The sequence below is a fragment of the Homo sapiens genome, chromosome 7 (assembly GCF_000001405.40).
Source record: "Homo sapiens chromosome 7, GRCh38.p14 Primary Assembly".
NCBI classification, from domain to species: Eukaryota; Metazoa; Chordata; class Mammalia; order Primates; family Hominidae; genus Homo; species Homo sapiens.
This window is the reverse complement of record NC_000007.14, coordinates 132,462,754-132,484,282: the sequence shown is the minus strand read 5'-3', so window position 1 is coordinate 132,484,282 and position 21,529 is coordinate 132,462,754. Positions and strand designations below refer to the sequence as shown.

Sequence of the window (21,529 nt, the reverse complement as noted above, 5' to 3'; positions counted from 1 at the left end):
GACTGGCCCTTCAGACTGATCTTGCCTCAGACCAATGTATCCACTTCTCATGGGCCTTCCTCCCACCTTGTTTCAATCTCTTCTGCTATGTTTTAAGCTTTCTTCCCAAGTTTTACTCAGTTGACTAAAAGAGCAACTAAGCTGGTTGATATCCTCTTGGACATATTTTATATTCTTGAACACTATTAAGCCCTCACTCAATCACCCTTTTGATGTAAGTGTGGCCACACTGGCCCTCTTTTCTTATCTTTTTCCATTTCTCACTATTCTGCCCTTGGGCCCACCCACCTTCCCTGCACATCCCTGGGGGATCTCAAGTGGTCCCTCCTTGCTGACCTGAATAAACCCGGGGAGGTGTTCTCATCGTGAAATTTCTACTGCAGCCAATAGCTAGGCATTGTTGCATTCTCCTCCTGACTTCCTCCTGAAACACACATTGAAATCCCAGCAAAGAGTTTCTCAGGAACACTTGTCATTCTGTTTTCCAAGTGATCATTGCTAGTGCACATGATTTAAAGAGATAGTCTTAAATGAGCTTTGCCAATTCAAGATTTATTGATACGTGTGCCACTTTTTTGAATCATATGTGTGTATATATACACACATTGGTATAGAAAGATCCTGATCATAAATTAAAATGCAAACACATTAAAATTGAAGAAAGTGCTGCACAAACACCCCAAATCATAGAGCGCATTCAGTCAGCTGATACACAAATGTCAGACGCACTAGAGGAATTTATCCAGTGACACATGCAATTGAAGTAAAATATTGTGCTTTACAAAAACATATCATTAAAATGAAAACTAGCAGCATATTAGGAGTCTGGCCATGTAACCAAGACAACAAAGATGGGAAAGGATGAAAGACATGATGTACAGAGGAAGAGGGAGGAGGCAGAGGCAAGAAGAGGGAATGAGCCCCCAACCATAAGTGGTCCTTTTACTGCTGGGCTCACACCTGCTAGACTCTGGATAGGAGAATAGAATCTTGATGTCAATACCAGTGAAGACTCCTAGCGAGGGTAGAGCCAGGGGAGGTCTTTGTTACCGGCAATTGCTATGATTTCCTCAGCCACTCTGATGGGGAAGGCAGTGGCAGTTGGACCAATTCACAGCCCATGAGTTGATGTTCTGATTTGGGGTCTGCTGAAAGTCCATACTTGTTCTTAGGGAACTTCCTGGGAATGTGTCCACTGGGCTTGCTTATTGATGATGTCATGGTGCTGCTTTTCGCAGCAGTTCTGGCTTCTCATAGAAGCATCCATGGTGACTTTTTAAAAGAGGTCTCTCGGCCGGGCGCGGTGGCTCACCCCTGTAATCCCAGCACTTTGGGAGGCTGAGGCACACAGATCATGAGGTCAGGAGTTCAAGACCAGCATGACCAACGTGGTAAAACCCTGCCTTTACTAAAAATACAAAAATTAGCCGGGCATGATGGTGCACACCTGTAATCCCAGCTACTCAGGACGCTGAGGCAGGAGAATCTCTTGAACCCAGGAGGCGGAGGTTGCAGTGAGCTGAGATCGCACCATTGCACTCCAGCCTGGGCAATAGAGTGAGACTCCATCTCAAAAAAAAAAAAAAAGTTTCTCGAAGCTCCCACACTCACTCCATACCTTCTCTCCTGGCCCAGGAGACACAGGTGTATTAGTTATCGATTGCCGTGAACTACTCCAGAACTTAGAGGCTTTGAACAACACTTATTATCATACATACAGTTTCTGTGGTTCTGGAATCTGGGCATGGCTCAGCTGGGTCCTCCGGCTTAGGGTCATGGTATTGGCTGGGGCTGCAGTCATCCCACTGCTAAAGACCAGAATGGGGAAGAGTCTACCTCCAATGTCACTCCCGGGTTTGTTGGCAAGCCTCAGGTCCTCACTTGAGAGATCCCTACATTGCCATGTGGGCCCCTCCATGAGGCCACGTGCACAACAAGGAGTGCAGCAGCAGGCTTCTCTAGAACGATGTCTGAGAGATGGGGGCGAGAAAGAGGCTGAGCAAGGTGCAAGCCATTGTCTTTTTGAAACCTGGTTTCAGAAGTGACACCCCATCCCCTTTGCTGTATTATGTCTTAGAAGCCAGCTAGTGGGTCCAGCTCACACTCCAGGAAGGGACTCTGTAGGTCATGAATACCCAGAGGTGGGGATCACTGGGGGCTATGTTGGAGGCTGCCTTCTACATGAGGGCTTTGTTTCTCAGCCATTGAGGGGACTTGAACCCATACTTTCAAACTTCAAGTTCATTTTTAGTAGTGTGGAAAAGGACACGGCCTTCCTCAGGAACACCAGTGGCCCAGGCACTGAATCCTGTCTTTTGGCTTGTGGCTTTGATTGTGCAAACACAGTAGAGAATCCAGAGGATAAACAGGAGGCTGTGAAGCAGTCGCCACACCCACAGGACCAGGGGTGAGGAAACTTCCTCAACAAGGAGGCCTGGGGGCTCAGCAGGCAGTCCCAGGTGCTCCGTTCATCTGGAGAGAGGGCAGTGCTCGATGATGGACAAGAGATGCTTAGATTTTGAATCAGTAGCTGCCGAGAACTCTGTGTGGCCATGGAGAATCCATATCTTCTGCCTTTGGCCTCTGTGGGGAGGCACCCAGCATCTTAGGAAGGGGTCGTTTCCTTAGTGTTTGGGGCTGGCAGAAAAGAGGTGGTGCAGAGGGAACTACTGAGCTTTGAACACCGTGTAGGCACCAGGATTGTTCTAGATGTTTTCACATGTTACTTACATTGATTGTCACATGTAATCCTCAATGTTTTTTTTTGGGGGTGGGGTAAATGTTACACCTTCCATTTTACCCAGGAGAAAAGGGGTTGGGTAACTCCCCAGAGGTCACACGGTCTAATCCGAGGTTGTCCTGGGACCCGTATCGAGTAATATCACAGACTCTACCTAAGGCCTGGCTCCTGGGCTGTAGGGTAGGTCACCTCCCTGATGGAGGGAGGAGGTGGTGGCTGGACCTCTGGTACCTACCCTGGAGCCTGTTGCTCAGAACCCTCCTTTCATTCCCTCTGTTCTGTCTCTGCCCTGTCTCAGGCCCTGATGTCCATGCTAGGGCGGTTGAAACTGATTTTCCCCTCTTTAATCCATCTTCCTGGGATGGATTAAAGAGGGGAGCACTTTAGGGACAGGAAAATCAGTTTGGATGGATCCTAGATGGCAGATTCAGCTTCCTAAAGCAGTTCTAATCCTCTCACCCTTGTCACCAAGAAAAACAAAACTGGACTTGTCTCATCCACCCTTCTGCAGCCCCTTGCCTGTAGCTTTGCTTGCATGGAAGTGGACCTGACATGCTGAGGACTCAGGTCCCTGGCTCAGCCATTCAGCCTCAGCTGGCTGCCTCGGCCTTCACATTTCGAGTCCTCAAGGGCCCTGGCTAAATTTAAATACCAAGGAAGAGGCTCCCACCTTAGAAACGACGGGACTCCTGCCTCCATGGCTGCTCTCACATCACCAACCTGCCTCCACGGGCAATTTCCTTCTGAGAGCAATTATGCTGGAGCTTGGATCCCGTGGCCGAGTGGGAGGTGGCCACAGGGAGGGGAGGAGGTTTTCCAGGAGGCAGCCGAGCTGTGCTTTTCCACTTACCCCTGGCCTGCTGCCTGGGACAGACTGGGCCCATCTTTGTCTTGGTTTCTCACCGGAATTGTCCCTCCTAGAGCCTGTGGGACTGTGTGCTGTGGTTCTGGGTGATTTTTCCTGTGACAGACTGGGCCCATCTTTGTCTTGGTTTCTCACCGGAATTGTCCCTCCTAGAGCCTGTGGGACTGTGTGCTGTGGTTCTGGGTGATTTTTCCTGTGACGGGTTATCCACGGTCCCTGTCTTGACCCATTTGGAGGATGACAGCTTCTTCCTAATCACGGGTCATTATTGCTTTGCAAGTGCTCTGGAATGGAGGGCCTAATTAGCCAGTCTCCTTGTGACTCCCAGTCACCTGGAGCACTTGTCACCACCAGCACATCCAACCTTCTTTTTCCTTCTGAGTGTCTATCCCCCAAACCTGAGCTTCTCGGCTCTTCTCACAATCCTTTGCCTACTTTCCTCACTTTCACCCCCTCCATTCTTACCTTTTCCTTCCTGTCGCTCTGTAGTATTGTACTTTTAACTTAGTGAAGGTGTGCTCACAAATGTTATCTTGACCAATTAATTTGCTCAGGATGATGTGGAGTTAGGAAGGCCTGAGGCCGTGTTGGCTTTGCTATTTCTTTATAGATATGGGGACTTGGGGTAATAGTATGATTGAATGGGAGGTTAGGGAGACTACTTCAGAAGTGTACATAGTTCTTTATATAGTCAAACCTCTTTTTAAAAAAATGCAAAGAGGCCAGGCGCAGTGGCTCATGCCTGTAATCTCAGTACTTTGGGAGGCCGAGGAGGGTGGATCACTTGAGGCCAGGGATTTCAGACCAGCCTGGGCAACATGGCAAAACCCTGTCTCTACTAAAATATAAAAATAAACAAAATTAGCTGGGAATGATGGTACATGCCTGTAGTCCCAGCTACTCCAGAGGCTGAGGCAGGAGAATCGCTTGAACCCAGGAGGCAGAGGTTGCAGTGAGCCGAGATCGTGCCATTGCACCCCAGCCTGGGCAACAGAGTGAGACCCTATCCCAAAAAAATGGTTAATAAAAGAATGCAAAGAATCTACAAAGAGCAATCCTCTTCCCCCCAAAACCACTCCTGGACACCCACTGCCGGGCGGCATTCTCTCCCTTGCTCATTGTGGGGTCCCGGGCTCACTAAGGTGCGGGTGGAAGGCCGTATTCCCCTTGCCCTGTGTTATGGCACAGCTGCATGGGGACCCAGCTCTATTTTGTTGGCTTCCTGGGTTTCCCTTTTGAGTCCTTTTAGGAAAGGCTCTCCAAGGGTTGCATCTGTGAGAAATGGGTGTTGGTTTGGGGTTTTACCCCACCTCACAGGCTCTCCCTTCCTTGGGGCTGCCCTCTGACACTCCCAGTGCCTCACCTAGTCCCAGTTTTCCTTTTGGGAATTTTTTTTTTTTTTTCCCAAAGAGATAGGGTCTTGCTCTGTCACCCAGGCCAAAGTGAAGTGGTGCTATCCTAACTCATGACAGCCTCAAACTTCTGGGTTCTAGCGATCCACCTGTCTCAGTCGCCGAAGTACCTGGGACTACAGGTATGTGTCACCATGCTCCACTAATTTTTAACATTTTTTATAGAGATGGGGTCTTGCTACGTTGTCCAGGCTGGTCTTAAACTCCTGACCTCAAGCAATCCTCCCACCTCGGCCTCCCAAAATTCTGAGATTACAGGTATGAGCTACCATGTCTGGCCATGAGACTTTTTTGAGCTGCCTTCCAAAAAGTTTCTCCCCTGCTGGAGAAGGCTTCTGAGGCTTTGGTGGCAAGGAGGTTGGAAGGAAAGAGATGGGTTGTCTTTCTGCTTAACCACTTTTACCTCCCCACCAAGATATGAGTATTCTGGGGCTGGAGGTGGCTAAATCTGAGTGTTCCCAGGTATTGTTGGACCTGAGAGGCCAGAATGATGTTGAAGCCACCTGACGACCTGCCCTCATCATTGCATCCAAAACTTAAACAAAATCCTACTGTGTTCCAGGTATTCCCATGGGAGTCTCAGATACAAATTGCCATTTTGGCCTCTAGGCAGGATTCTACCTAAGATCATATATGGGTGCCTTATATACATCGTGGTTTTTTATAATAATGAAAATGATTAGATATCTTCAGTCTACCTTTAAAAATCTATAAGTCAATACATTCTTTACATTGGTCTTTCTGCAACAGACCAACATTTCCTCCAGTGATAATTCAGCTCTGTCCCTTTTGTTCTTCCTTCCCCCACAGAGCATAAAACTTATCCATGATTTTCTGTCTCAGACAGGATTCCTCTACTACAAGTATCACTTGTGATGAGTAAACATATTTTTTTAAATGTTGCATGTAATTATAACCATATTTTCAATGCATCAGGTTAGCATACCTGGAATATTTTATTTTATTTCATCTTTATGATCAAAGTTGTTCTGGGTCTTTTCCCAGACACACCAGACTTGGGAGAGAAAGATACATCTTAAACCTCACTTAGAGAATGAGTCTTTCTTAGATCCAGGGAGGTTTAGTTAGGCAGTGTTGGCTTATGCCCTAGGTGGGCCTGAACTTGTACAATGTTGACCTTAAGTAGAGCTAGTGTGGCAGCTGGGGACCCTAGAGGCTCTGTGACCTAGGAAGGGCCATGGCTGGAGGGATGCTGATAGTACTGATGGCTTCCCTGCCTCAACCAGGCTGTGGGCTTCTTTATCTCTTTTTGGGTAGGAAATGTGGATTCATTGTAGGAAACTAATGAATCTCTTTCTAAAATGGAGAATTATTTTCTAAAATTAATAGCCTCATAATGTATCCATTTTATAAATTTGGTTTTTATTTAGCCACATTTTGATTACCCCAAAATTATAGGCAATAGAAGCTTTCAACATTGTAGCTGAGATGTTTTTCTGAAAGGAATTTGTTCATTTTCTTCACATAGAAAATACAGTTCATTAATATAGCTGGATCTATTTCCCCAGTGTGTTTATACCTTCTTCCAATTAAACTGAAGGTGCCCCCACAGTACTGCCCGAAGGTAACAAATGCTGAATAAAAAAATGTATTTGAAGATGGACCACTGGGGCTTAGGGTCTTCTAGTGCCTGTGTGCATGTGTGTGTGTATCAGCTAGCTTAGACTACATTATGTTGCAGTAACAAATGACCCCCAAGTTTAGGTGGCTTACAACAACAATAACGAAGGCTATTTTCAACTCACGTTCATGTGCACCCTGGGCTGGCTGCAGCCCTGCTCCATGTTATTTATCTGGGAGACTTGGAAGGGCAGCCCCTGTCTGGGACATGTTGATCTCATGGCCAAAGGAAAAGAGAGATGGCAGAACCGTGCCGTGGTTGTTAAAGCTACTGCTTGGTGGTGGCCCACTCCCATTTTTTTGGCCCAGCCAAAGTGAATGGTGTGGAAAATATAACCCTGCCTGGAGCCTGGGGAGGGGGCTGGTGTGTATGTATGCAGGGAGGTGGGAGAGAAGGGCAATGAATATTTTGTGGATAATTCTGTCCATACAGTTTATCATAAGGTTTATTTTTGTGAACATCAACATTCAGTCAAGAACTATCTTCTTGGTCATCTAAAATGCGCTAGGCACTTCTTGACTTAAAGAGCTTGTGATCTCTTCTTTGCTTAGTATTGGAGAAGATGTGCAAAAAATATAGGATATGGCTGATTTTATATCATCAACCCCAGATATAATGTTGAAGATTTTTAAAAAACTAAATCCTCTCTCAGATGATTTTCCTGTGATTTACTTTTTTCCTCCTAAAACTGAAACTGAAATTATTCCTTTTCTTTCATTAGTCAGGCTCTGAATGTTTGTATCTCCCCAAAATTAGTTTTGTTAAGAGTGAGGGCACTTTTCTACTTAAATACAATGATTAGATTGTGTTCAGCAGATGTCTCTTGGATAATTAAATTACCCAAATTTATGGAAGCATTTCTTTTACCTATAATTAAATAAAGTTTCCAAATTAATTTTCCCTAAGTAATTTAAGCTCCAGAGATTCCCCCACTTCCCCTCTGAACCCCCCTTGCCAACCATGGGTTCCAAAAATTCACTCTGGACACAGGCAGGATATTGCCCATTAAATTCCATTTCTCAGGACAAGGAACCCAAAGCTGTCTACTGACTTAAAACAAGCTCACATGCCTCCGTATCAGGGTTCCCTGCCAACCTGCTCCTCTCTGGAAAAGGCAAGAGACTTGCAGAGTCAGAATCCTGAGTGGAGGAAGCTATCCTGCAGATTGCATTGAAAAACATTGATTTTTATCTCTCAAAGTCATTTTGTAGACTGCCAAGTTTTTGGCCAACATGTCTTAAACTCGCATCATATTGATGATGCCTGGGGAAGCATCAGTCATCCATAACTGGGTACCATAATATGTATTTTCATGGCTGAGCTGGTGACAGCAATTGCAGGGGCCTTAACAATCTCAGAAAGCTCTTAAGGAGTTGCCCGGTGGCTATTATGCTAGGAGGGGCACTTTGATTCTGTCTAAGCTCTTCACCTTCTATTTTCAGGTGGATAAGATATACTCACACATGCCTGATTCTGTATCCCCTCTCCATACACACATCCATAGTCATAAACATGCACAAACACCCAGCTGACACACACACCTGTGTTCACCCACGCACAGGGAGGCACCCACACATGCAAGCATAGGAACCGGCAGAGCCTTCTCTGCACTCAAGCCTGGGGCTGCTCCCGCTGGGCTCTGCCTTGCATCCACCTCCCTCATGTTCTCTCTGGGAGATTAGCGGCACACCACCTAATCAGTTTACCTCTGACTCGCCCACTTTGGCTTCAGGATGATGACAGAGTAGAGCTATTTAGCTGTCAAATGCCCTGACCATTGCCCAGATGGACAGTGCCTCAACCACCAGAGTGGCTTCTTTCTCCTCTGGGTGTGGGGGGAATCAGTCTCCCGGTTGCTTTTTTTTAAGTGCTCCTTGCATCTGCCTTCAATTTGCATGTTAATGTCTCTTGCTTGCTGACCTCGCTTCCCGGCAGCCAGCCTAAGTGTGAGTCCCATAATTAGCTTAGTGATAATTTAATCTCTCTGCCTTGAATCTGATTGTTTCTGAGGGAGTTGGGTCAGGGGAAGGGGGACCTTTATTTCTCCCTTGACCTGTGCTTTTGTCTGGATTCTTGTTCTGTGCGGGGGCAGGGGCAGAAGGAAGCAGTGGGATTGGGGGATGCAGTGACAGAGCGGTTCCTGGCATCAAGGGTAGATACCGGGCAGGAAGCTGAAATGAAGTTCATCTCTATCTCTAACATTTTCTCTCTTAGAGGGGGTTCCGTTTCTTTGTCCTCATTTCCCACTAAAACTGTGAACACATGTGAGTATGGGCACATAAAGAGCTCTAAGATGCTTGGAGCTGGGGGGCAGCTTGAAAATGGGAAATCAATGTGCTTCCTCCGCTGGTCACGGCAACCATTCTGTCAATCCCAAGGAGGGCTGGGAGGGGCAACGGGAGCTACTGTGGGCCACCCTGCTGCCTCCCACTACTGCTCCTAGGACTCCTGCAATCTTCATGCCCAGGTGTCTGCCCTGGTCTGTGTCTGGGGCCAGCCATCCCTCTAAATTGTTAAGAGCCAGGCCTGGGTGTGGCTTAAAATCTTGGAACCGACATCCAGGAAATCTTAACTTTGTTTCTGGCTGCACTTCTGGTTTGGGACAAATTCTTTATCCACACGTATGTCACCTTTGGAGTAATGAGCATATTAATGTATGCACCCTCCCTCCATCTCTCTTATGAATGAGCTGAGGGTAGTGAGACTTCATGTCTGTAGAACATTCTTTAATTCACCCAGGAGGAAAAAATTAAAACAAATTAAGAAGATGGCAAGGATCCATAAGACTTTCTGTGTTTAAAAAACTTCTAAGAAGAGTCTTCAGACTCACAAATGCAAACAGCCATGTGAGCCCAGGCAAGGTAGAAATGCAGAGGAGGGGAAGGTCTCCAGAGGTGGGGCTCTGCAGGGGAAACAGCAGATGCTCCAAATAGATGCACTAACCAGTTCTGATAGGATTTAATTGTGTGTGTGTGCGTGCGCGCGCGTGTGTGTGTGTGTGTACATGTGCTCAATATCTCTTTGGGAGAACTTCGGAGACCCCAGTGAAGAAAGTGAGATGTAATTCATCAGAGCCACCCTTGGCTACTCACTGAGTCCCTGTAACATGTGCGGTGTTGTAATTGGGGTGAATAACCTGGGTGATGGAAAGCAGGATGGGCGGGGCAGGCTCAGCTCTGCAAGGCTTAGGTTCACTCCTACTACCTCCTGCAGGCTGGAAACAGGGGCTTTGATTTATGAGCTCACTTTTAATTAAAAGAACTACAGAAAAAAATCTCACGTTGCCTCTACAGGATAAATGTTTTACAATCTAAACTAATTTTGTGTCTTTCCCAAACGCCCTAGTGCTGCAGCTGGTGTGTGCATGTGTGTGTGTGTGTGTGTGTGTGTGTGTGTGTGTGTGTGTGTGAGACAGAGAGATCTGATCTTGGCTCAGCCCTGTGGGTCTGACCCCGTAAGGATTCTTTGCTTCCACTGCTAATGCTGCCTTTGCATTTGGGCTCTGCTGCACAGCCCTAATGCCGCCTTCTAGGTGTTTATTGCCCTGTTTTTTTTTGTTTTGTTTTGTTTTGTTTTGTTTTTTGTCATTTCTGTTTGCAGCTTTCTCTGAAGTCTTCACTTGAAGAGATGCTGTCAGTTCTGTTCTAAGTTGCTTGTTGAACTTTCTTTCCTTTAACCACAATAATGTTCATGCTGTCTTGGGTGGGAGAGGTTTTATTTTGGTGGCCACCCCAAATTCTCAGTACATTTTAATTTCTTTTTTTTTTTCTTGTTTGAGACGGAGTCTTGCACATTCTAATTTCTCTGATAACCCCTCATTACGTTCCCATGGCACTTCCCAGTATGGAATTTATTAGCTTCCTAGCCCTTGTTCTCAGGGAGCTGATCTTCTCTAATATGACTGAAACTGACACAGGAGTGGCCCTGGTGTGCTTGAATATAAACCTGGCCTTTTTAACGTGACAATATTTATTTGCCATCACTATCCATCCCCATTAGCAGTGTGATACGAACCACTCTTTTTGGAGGGTCTTGCCTTCTGTAAGTACCTATGTTTATTTGACATTTAGAAATGTATTTATTTCTTTGTGAGAGGTGTCAAGTCTGCTTTTCTTAGTTATTTTCATACCTTCCTTCTTCACAAAGGTTCATGGGATGCTGTCCATTAGCTACAGAAGCAGGAGACAGGGGTCCCCATCCCAGCAAAGGACCTGCCGCCACTGCCCTCCTGGGACTGCTTTTGGGAAACACTGGGGGAGCCGCTGAGGCCTCTTTGCTCCAGGAACAGGAGGGAGAATCTGACCACCAGACACACTAAGAAACTGCAGGGAAACTGACCAGCAAAAGTGTCCGGCTAAGGAAGCCAGAAAAACCAACTTCAGAGCCATGCAGAGGTAGCTTGAGCCAGTGGCAAGATTTGGGGTTTGCACCTGGTGACAAGTTCTCATCTTTTTCTGCCACTGACTCACTGCAAGAGACAAGGGATCCTTGCCCCCCTTTGCAGGGATTTGGTCTTATTTTCAGTAAATAAGAGGGAATGTGCCCCCACTCTCTCTACCTTCTGCCTGCTGCTGCATTTGTAAATACTCTGCCACGTAACATCCTGATGTGGGCCTGACAGGAGAAGCTGTAACTCCACAATGATAATGTTTAGTACTGTTTGTCACTCATCTCAAACGAAGTGTGTCCGTATCTGTGGACCTGTCCTGGAACTTCAGCTCACTGTGCTTGGGGTTGTGGGGACTCTGAGGAGAGCAGGCTAGTAATGCCCCAGACCCCCCAGCCTGTTCCCCGCTGGCCACGCCCTCACCATCACCTGTACCTGCTCCTTGTGGTCTTGGTGCTCCCTTTTAGTGAGCTGAGAGAGGGGCCCTGTGCCTTTCACCTACATTATGGGACTAGCAGTGACGTCCACTTCCCAGCTTTTCCAGTGATGTTTCCCTGAGCCCTGGGGCTGTTCTGCAAGATGAGATCATCGGTGCTAAATTTGTCTCTGCTGACAGCCTGGAATTGGGTTCCATAGCCCCAGCAGGCTTGGGAGGCGGTCGGCTGGGGGTGTGTCCCGTGCACTGCCCTGGCTCCTGCCATTGCCCCTGCTGCTGTCTGTTGAGAGAGGCTTCCTTCTTCCTCTGAAATTCTTACCTCTCTCTTTTCAGCTCCCAGTTTCCTTGTTCTAAAGATTTGCATTTGTGCCCAAGGAGGGAATTAAAAATATGATAATCATAAGGGAAGCCATGGTAGATATGAAGAATCCAGCAAAATATAGATAATTGATGCTCTTGTGCAACTGACCAGAGCAAGTTAAGAAACAAGCCAAATCCAATAAGGAAAATATTTCTGAGCGAGAAAAGATCTGGATTTTCTTGCCAAAAGACCTTGCTAGGCCCCAAGAAAAATAAATGAAGATATGGGGAAAAAAGTATCAGGGCAAAATTTTTTTATTTTCATGATCAAAAAGCAAGTATGCAGATTGAATCGGAAAGAAAGGTCAGGGTGGGCTCAGATTCCTCAGACTTCTGAGGCTTGTAGACGATAATGGAGCGTGGTTACAAGCAAACTTTACAGAGTGTTTTCTGCAGAGTACAAGTTCCGAGAAATACTCCATCAGAAAAGTGTTTTGGCTTTTGTTTGTTTGATCAAACAAGTTTATGAGGTGCTGCAGGTGTGTCCCTTTTTGGGCAGTTCAATAAAGCACACTCGATGTATTTTTAAATTCTGAGAAAACAAACAAGCCAGAAAGCATACCTGGTTCCAGTAAGAAAGGCCGTGGCCCTGCTTGTTTGTTCTTGCGTGTACTGTTGTTTGGTATGGAAAGCGAGGTGGCTGGTGTTTTACAAGTCCATATGTGGGGAAGTGGGTGAAGGGGGAACCAGAGTTTGAAAGAGCGCCCCTCCTCCTCCTCCCACTCCAAGGCATCTGTGGTCTATCCTTCTGACAAGTGATGTTTGGAACTCAAACGGTCCCAGGGATTAGAAACAAGATCTAGAAGGCCCTTTAAGGAACCAGGGCCATTTGAAACTGGAGAGAGGAGAGAACAGGCTGCTGCTGCTGTCCTGGCAAGGAGACTGATGAGGAGCAGGGCCAAGGTGATCGCTGGGAGTAACAGGTGAGGTGCCCCCATGGGAGGACTCAGCCAGCAGCACTTTCAGAGAAGTTGGGCCATGAAGGGATGAAGGAAGAGGGGCACCTCACCAGGAACGGGCAGTGTATTCCATTCCTAATGCTGTTGTCACAAATGACCACAAATTTACCAACTTCACACAACACACACAACGGTCTATTTGTATTACACCGTTCTTGCATTGCTATAAAGAAATACCTGAGGCTGGATACTTTATAAAGAAAAGAGGTGTAATTGGCTCATGGTCCTACAGGGTGTATATCTGCTTGGCTCTGGGCACGCCTCAGGAAGCTTACAGTCATGGCAGAAGGCGAATCGAGAGCAGGCACGTCACATAGATAAGGCAGCAGCAAGAGATGGGGGAGGTGCCACACACCTTTAAACAACAAAATCTCGAGAGAACTCTCTCACTATCACAAAAACCGCACCAAGCGGATGGTACTAAACCATTAATGAGAAATCCACCCCATGATTTAATCACACCCCCCAAGGCCCCACCTCCAATACTGAGGATTACAATTCAACTTGAGATTTGGGCGGGGACTCATATCCAAGCTATGTCACAGTTCTATAGGTCAAAAATCTGACATGGGTCTCACTGGGCTAATCCAGGCACTGGCAGGTCTTCATGCCTTTCCAGGAGCTCATCCCTTTTTGGAGGTTCTAGGAGATAATCTATTTCCTGTCTTTTTCAGCTTCTAAAGGCCACCCACATTCCTCAGCTACAGTTCTCTTCCTCCGTCTTCAAAGCCAGCAGTGATACATGTTTTTGGCCTTTCTTTCATAGTCAAGTCTCCCTCCCTCTGACCAAGGCTGGGAAAAGTTCTCTGCTTTTAAGGACTCATGTGATATGAGTGTGCCTACCTGGATAGTCCAGGCTCATCTCTCTTTTTCAAGGTTCTTAACTTCATGATATCTTCCAAGTCCCTTTTGCCATGTTAGGTAACCTATTCGCAAGTTCTGAGGATTAGGATGTGGACATCTTTGGGGAGGGGGCATGATTCTACCTATACAAGTGGAGATTCCTCTAAAACATCTGCAAAACTGATTGGGGATAGGTGTGAAGTTTGGGGGATGGCATTTTGGGACCAGATAGGTCTACTGAGAGGCCCACATCCAAAGAGAAGGTGAGAAAGTTTTTACAAAGACTGACAATCCCACCAAACTTTGCCATCATTCCCAACTAGAGCACTTCAGGTCCTCTGATCCAAGCCAGATGGGGTGAGGACAGGCCCCCCCTTGTTTCTGAGCCCAGTGAACTCTACTGGTCAAGACAACTGTCAGCTCTCCCTCTTGGATATTTATTGAGAGGAGCCCTCTGTAAACTTCTCAGTGTCATTGACTTTATTTGAGGTTTCATTATATACAGAGTTTCTTCCCCTTGGTTTTGGAAGAGCTTTGGGCATAAAAAACTTTTGAGAAGTTCATCTTTGTCTTAACTGGACAAGGCAGAGAGGCTTTTGGTGGCTCTGGCATGTGGAGCAGCTATTAGAACCCAATGAGAAGATCTGCCACTGAACCCGACAGTATACAGGGCCAGTTGTGACAGTGGCAAATGGTGTCCTCTCTCCCAAAGGGGAGTCACCACCGACCTTGGTTGTTTACTGATCAAGGGAAACTGTGACTGACCAGGCTTATGTTGTGTTTTGTTTCTGTTTTCCTCTGATAATTTCCTGGCACTACTGCCATCTTCCGCTTAACAGTTACTGTTGAGCAAGATGTGATTTTAGGCAGTATGTGATGATCAAATAAGGAAAAAGTGGTCTTTCTATTCTTGGAGATTTTAGGTAGACAGAAAAATTAGAATGGACGAATGCATTGAGAAACCACAGAGGTATATTGGAATGAAGACCCATGGGCTACTTTCTCACTGGAAGGACATGTTCTCTGCTTGGCTTTGCAAAGCATCCAAATGGAGCCCTGTTTCAGGAAGGCTAAGAACTCCACAATCAAATTATTGAAAGTCAGTCTTCAATCCCAGGGTTGAGAAACAGAACTCACTTCCAGCAACCAGGTGAATCATCAGCTGAGGCTGGGTCTGCTGAAAAAGCGGAAATGACTTCCAATCAGTCAGGGCTGGGGAGAGGAAGAGAGGGAATGGAAAATGAGAAAACAGTGAGCAACTACTCCATGGTGAACTTTGTGCTATCAATGCTTTACACATGTATGGTCTAAGGCCCTCACAGCAACCCTGCAAGGTGAGGATTTTTGCTCCAATTTACCCTAAAGAAACTTAGGGAGGTAAGGCATTTCTTCATCCACAGACTCCAAAACCCATGCCCTTGTATTACATCGTGACATTGTGCCACTGCTCCCTTTTGGATCTAAAATACTTTTTTCTTTTTTTTTTCTTTCTTTCTTTCTTTTTTTTTTTTTTTTTTTTGGTTGGTGTGCATTTCCGAGCTCAATTTAGTTTCCCTACGAGATACCCAGCTCTGTAGGGGTTAGTCTGAGGGATATGTGGAGACTGAGGCTCTGGAGAGGAAGCCCTTGGTACTAACATCTCAGGTCGCCCTCCAGGCTGGAAGCTTTCGAGCATTCCACAGGCCATGTTCTGTGCTTCAGAGTGGGCATTTTCTCAGTGCCTGTTGAAATTCCTAGACGCTCACCCCAGACTTCTATACTTATAAGATTGAGCTCCATTTCAAGTGGGCCTGTGAAAATGAACAGCTGATGTGTTACATAATTCCTTCTCTCCTCAAATGTGTGTATGTAACAGTCGTGCATAAATATTGTGTGTGTGTATTGTGTGTGTGTGTGTGTGTGTGCGTGTGCATATTGTGTGTGTTGAAGGGAGGGAGGTGTTCCTGGAAAAGTGGAGGAGGACCTGTCTGCCATTTTGGATAACTTATTTCAAAGCATTCTTCTCTCTTTCTCCTCATCTCATTCTACTCCTACATCTGCAGGAAGAGTGAGAGGGCCACAGAGCAGTGTTCTAAAAAGGGACGATAGAAGCATTGCCTGCCCCTTCGACTGCCTGTTCTAGTTTTTCACCATAAGGCTAAGACTTCCCCACCTGACCTCAGCTCTTTGGATTCTTGAGATGAGAATTTTTTCCTTCAGGGTTCACTGGGATTGAGTGTGCAAGGTAATAACATTATTAGGAAAAATTATTGATATAGAATACATACGGCATATGTATAAGCACCAATTTACAAAATAGTAACTGGGGACAATTTCTAAATCATGTCCTGTAAATATGAATTATATTTTAAGTTTTCAACAATACCATCTGTCTGTGTGTGTATGTGTGTTTGTGTGTATGTGTGTGTGTGTCATTTAAAGCCTTGGCAGTTTGAATGTACGATTTGTCTATCTCTGTTGTAATTACTTGAGGCTTATCTTAGGCCCAGTTGATACCAGATTACAGGGTTTTTTTGTAAAACTTTCTCTTATTCCAGAGAGCTAAGGACTGGGGGGTTTATTCCAACTCGGTCACACCAGGATGGATTGAGGAGTGCAGCCAGATGTACCCAAGGAACCACCCAGTGAGCCAGCTGGAGCTGTGTGCATGTGTGTGCAAGTGTGAGAGCCATGTGCAGTTACTGCTGATGGCATTAGAGGGGACAGGTGTTTCATTAAGTTGGAGAGATTTGGAACATGTTGGCATTCCAAAGTGAGCCAGCAAAAGGATCCCACAGCCAAGAAGTGTGTTCCTCGGTAGTGCTGCCATCCAGGGATGGTCTGTTTCACCACTTGGACACCACCATCCTGAATAATGAGGTTATTTGAAGTATTAGAAAGACCGAAACAACTTACTCCCATACCACCTATGGGAATATTCTCTTGGGCCATCATGGGAATAGGCTGGGAGTCTGGGTCCCTAGGTTCAACGTCTTTTAATTTTGTGATCTTTGGCAGTTACTTTGCCCTCTCTCTGTGTGTTAATTTCCCACCTTTGAACTGAAGACCAGAAAATGTGCTTGGCACAGGATGTGCTTAGGACATGCACTGGGACATGATGCCCAGCTGAGAGGTGGGATCTTCAAAGAAGTTTTTGGTGAGTACCATTGGTGAGCAGACCAGTTTTCAGAGCCTAGGATGGGACGATCAAGTTGTATGAAGCAGTATAGTAACAAGGCCAAGGTCTTTCACGGGTCCCCTGCAGGGGGACAGCAAATACCTCTGGCCCACGGTCTCAGGCGGAACCCTGAGCTCTTGCCTAATGGGTCACCTTGGCTGTGAGGGACTGTGACGGACTCAGCTCTGGAAAAATAATGCAAACTCACCCCCCAATATAGGTCAATTACCCTCGCACCTCTTTTGGCCCCAAGACCAGCCACTCTGCAGAGCTGTGGAGATGACCCCAGAGAGGTGGGCTAGGAGCTCCTCATCTTATTTTGTGACTTGATGAATTGGGAGACAGGCAGCCTCAGGGGCTGTGGACTCTCAGTCCCCATCCCACCAGTGACTTCTCAGTCCCTCTGAGGCTTTTCCATGTGTGGAGCAAGTAGTGTGCAGTTTACCTGACCGGGCTGCTTAGGGAGTCGCTAATGATCATGGAGGGCAGCTAAGGCATAGCAGCCATGGGAGCTTCTCTAAGAGGTTAGAAAACATTCTAGTCAGGCAGCTTCCCCCAGCAGGAGTCTCCTCTAATCACCCAGAAAGCCCAAGAGCCTGTGAACAGGCAATTGCAACTATGGTCCTTCATTATTTAAGCTTCTTGATAGATGGCTCTGCAAATCTGCTAAAAGAACACAGGGGGAGAACTTAGAAAGTGATTAAAAAGTTAAAAAAGGAGGAAAATGGAGAGAGAAGAGAAAAAGAAAAGATGGAAGTGGAGAGACTGCCCCCGAGGGAGGGGGTTACACATAAAGAGAATTGCTGTGGGGGTGCTGTTCACATCCCACTGCCACCAGGGGAACTTCATCCACCCACCTCCATCCTTGCATCTTGGGAGGGCTGGACCCAATGGGGCTCAGCGTGAAGGGGGTTTCCCCACAGCAGCTCCAGCCAACACTGACTGCAGGCTTACCAAGTGTGGATGCTGCTCTGCGTGATTTACATCTGCTAACTCTTTCAACCCTCAGAACAGCCCTACAAAGTAGATATGCTTATCGTTGCTAAGGACGCTCAAGGAAACTGAGGTCCGGACAGGATAAAGAGCTAACCCAAGGCCACATGTCTCAGGCTCTGGAGGCAGGATTTGAATGCAGGGCCTGACTCCTGGCTCCAGAGCCCATACGGGTCCTCATCATGCCCTGTTGGGCTCAGGCTGAGCTGAGTGTGGTCAGCCACAACTCCTGCCCGAGACCTACAGCCTCCAAAAAATGTCAGACATTGTCCCTCCTGCATATTTCCCCCTTTCACACTGGCCCTCTCTCTTGGATCCTTCTTGCTCTAAGATCTTTCAGAGCCAAGCAATGATAGATGACCCCTTTCTGCCTAGCTGGCTGATGGCTTCCAGCTTCTTCGTCTCTGAGGGGAGAAGCTGAGCTGAGGGGCTTCAGCTTGCTGGCCTCTTGATGTTTCCCAAGTTGAGACCAGGCCCCTGACCTGCGTGGGTACCTGGCACAGTGGCTTGTGTTGCCCATGTGCTTTTGAATCCCTTCGAAGGGAATGTTCTCTGGCTCTAAGCAGGTGTCTCTGTTTCCCTAGCCTCCTCTTTTTCTAAAAATGCGTTTTGAAAAACACAGATGGGTCTCTGTGGGCTCTTCCAGTCCCTCTCTCCTCCAGCTCTGCAGGAAAAGTGGTCTCCTCTGGGTCTTTCTGCTTTCTTTCCTTCCCACCAAACCTGCTTCCTGTCTCCCCTTCCAAGTTTGTGATAACACATTGCTCACTTGAACTCATCTGGCCCGAACTGACATTCCCAGGCCCCATGATCCTGGGATGACAGCACATGGGAGAGGACGAAGGGCTTTTTCCAAGAAACAGAAAATTCCTTGTACTTAGGTGTGGTAGCCACATGCCCAGAGAGATTTTGGATGGTGTTACTGTTGGACTACATTTTCCCACTAGGAATAAAACATGGTCGTTATTTGGATGGGTCCTTAGGTGACTTCACTCCAATCCAAGGACCAAGGTAAGGTCCCCTTTCCCTGGATTCTTATAAGCCCCAGGAACAAAGATTGTAAAACTTTTTAGAGTTTAGAGACAGAACCTTTTCTTTGTATAAAATCTTATGTGGAAGCCAAACATTAAACTGGTAAAAATCATTTCAGGTTGAGGGTGTATGTTGGTGGGTACGAAGTGGTTTCAGAGCTTCCCTCTCAGTTTTCCCAGTGTTCCCCAAAGACTCCTAGGACACCTCGGGGGAGCTCAGGGGACCCAATGCAGCACAACTAGAGGCCCCAGCCTCCACACTGCCTGGTGGGGGGGTCTAGACTGAATCGTGAAATCACCCTATCTATGGGCTGTGTGTCCAGTTGTTGGGGTGAGGTCTGGGGAGTGGGGGATGCAAGTGGTGGAGGGAATGAAAGGAGGGAGGGAAACTTCCAGTGCCTCATCATTCACCCTCCCCATAGATGGCACCTGGGCTCCCCGGGGCTGGGTCAGGCTCTGAGTGACAGCCATTGAAGAGAAGCCAGCCTCCAGGAAATTTCTCCAGCATGACTGGGCATCCTCTCTCCTAGCCAAATATATCAGAGCTTTGAGGAAAATGGGCTTCTGGCCAGGCCACACTCGTCCTTAGGAAGAGCTGTTTCCATCTGAGGAATCTTTTTGTAGACAGGTGCTGGTCCTTGAAGGGTAGGTCCGCTGAGCTTGCGCCATAGAATGCCTACACCACTGGCATCCTTTAGTCCTGCTGAGGGGAGGGACTAACTCCTGGTAATTTTCGTTTTGTTGATCAATAAAGGTTGTTGTATTGGCAAGTGCCACCTGCATCACTACTACAGATTCTTAGGGACCTACCCTCACATGTGAATCTCGGGTTACATTTTGCAAAGCCCTTTCACATATTTTGCAAAGCATTTTGACACATTTTTCACATATTCCACATATTTTGCAAAGCCCTTTCACTGTATTTCGATGCACACCCACCTGAGATGCAGGTGCTGAGAGTCTTACTTTACAGATAAGGAATCAGGTTAAAGAGGTTCCCTGACTCAGGCAAGGTCACAAAACTGGTTAGTGCCAGAGTGGAGACCCAGCAATCAACTCTTCTCATTCCAAGCCGGACGGCATCTCGCCATGCCACAGGGGCCTTCTGGTGGTATAGCTGGTGACTGAGGACAGAAGAGAAGTAAGACAATGGCAGACTCTTAATTTCTAGCAGGTTCTCTGCAGCTCCCTCCTGAATCTCCCCTAATATTCCCACTTACCTCCTCACCCTTCCCTGGTGAGACAGAGCAGGACTCTTCCAGAGCAGATTTCCATTGTTATTTTTCGCATCTCAGCACCACGTGTATTGCTATTTTTATCCTGTACTAGAAACTATTAAGTGGGGAGAAATGTTAATTGGTATTATTACAGCAAACTGTGTCCTAGTAACATTGCAATTCAGAGGTAAGCTCTCCACTCCCCTCCCCTGCCTTTTAGGCAAACATAGGAATTTTATTCATTTTGCTGACAGCCAGCCCTGGTTTCCTAGGCTGGTGTGGGGAGAAGTACTTGGGACCCTGAGATGTATTGGACAGGCTCCTGGGCCTCTGCTCTGTGGCTAGTTTATGAAGGAAGGAAGTTGGGGTGGGTGGAATAGCGATGAATTTAGTTCTGTTTTATCCACTGATGCTGGACTGGAAGGAATAAGATGTCTGCTCAGGAAGCCCTTGTGAGGGGTGGCTTGCAGCATCTTTGTGAAAGAATCAGGGGCATGTGGATTCATAGTCCAGCTGAAAGTAAGAGACAGTGGCCCTCATGGTGTGTCCCCGTAAGCCAGAGGGAAGAATGAGCAGATTAAAAAATAATAGCAGTGAAGTCCACACAAGTTCTGCCTAACTTCCAGAAGGAAGGGGACACATTATTATTAGGGATTCAACAAACGGGCTGGTTTCTAACCCTGGCAGCTTGCCTTCCCATCTATGTAACCTTAAGCAAGTCTCTTATCCTCTCTGGCATCAATTTCCTCATCTGTCAAATGGGCTAAAAATACTTACATCTCTGGGTTGTTGTGAGAATAAAGTACATTGCACAAAGCACACAGTAAGGGCTCTGGAAATTAAAGCTTAATAGTGATTTTTTTTCCTCATGTGCTCTAAGAATACTGAGGGCTGAGTGTGCACTGGTAGATGGAAAATCCAGTTTCCAACCCAGCAGCATCCACTGACTGATCAAACCTAACCTGTGCTGGATAATACCTTCCAAATCCTCTCTGGCCCTTCCTCCTCCCCTGGGAAGAACAATCAGCTTGGTTTCATGGTACCCTACAATTTTTATTTTTTATAATGTTGATTGTTTTTAAGAATTATTACAGGCTGGGCGCGATGGCTCACGCCTGTAATCCTAGCACTTTGAGAGGCTGAAGGGGGGTGGATCACTTGAGGTCAGAAGTTAGAGACCAACCTGGCCAACATGGTGAAACCCCGTTTCTACTAAAAATATAGAAGTTAGCTGGGCACGGTGTTGTGTGCCTGTAATCTCAGCTACTCGGGAGGCTGAGGCAGGAGAATCACTTGAACCTGACAGGCAGAGGTTGCAGTGAGCCAAGATTGCACCATTGTACTCCAGCCTGGGTGGAAAGAGCAAAACTCGGTCCCCCTCACAAAAAAAAAAAAAAAAAAAAAAAATTATAGAAATGTGTGTTATTTGTGGAAAATATAAAACAAGAATAAACAAGAAAAAAAATAACCTGAAATTCTATCATCTTCAA

At 46.6% G+C, this 21,529-nt stretch overlaps 1 protein-coding gene across 10 annotated transcripts in view; it reads left to right on the top strand.

The window, feature by feature from the left end:
• Nucleotides 1-21,529, top strand: part of PLXNA4 (plexin A4) — a 525,349-nt gene that overhangs the window by 164,406 nt on the left and 339,414 nt on the right. The gene's annotated exons all lie outside the window — the stretch shown is intronic.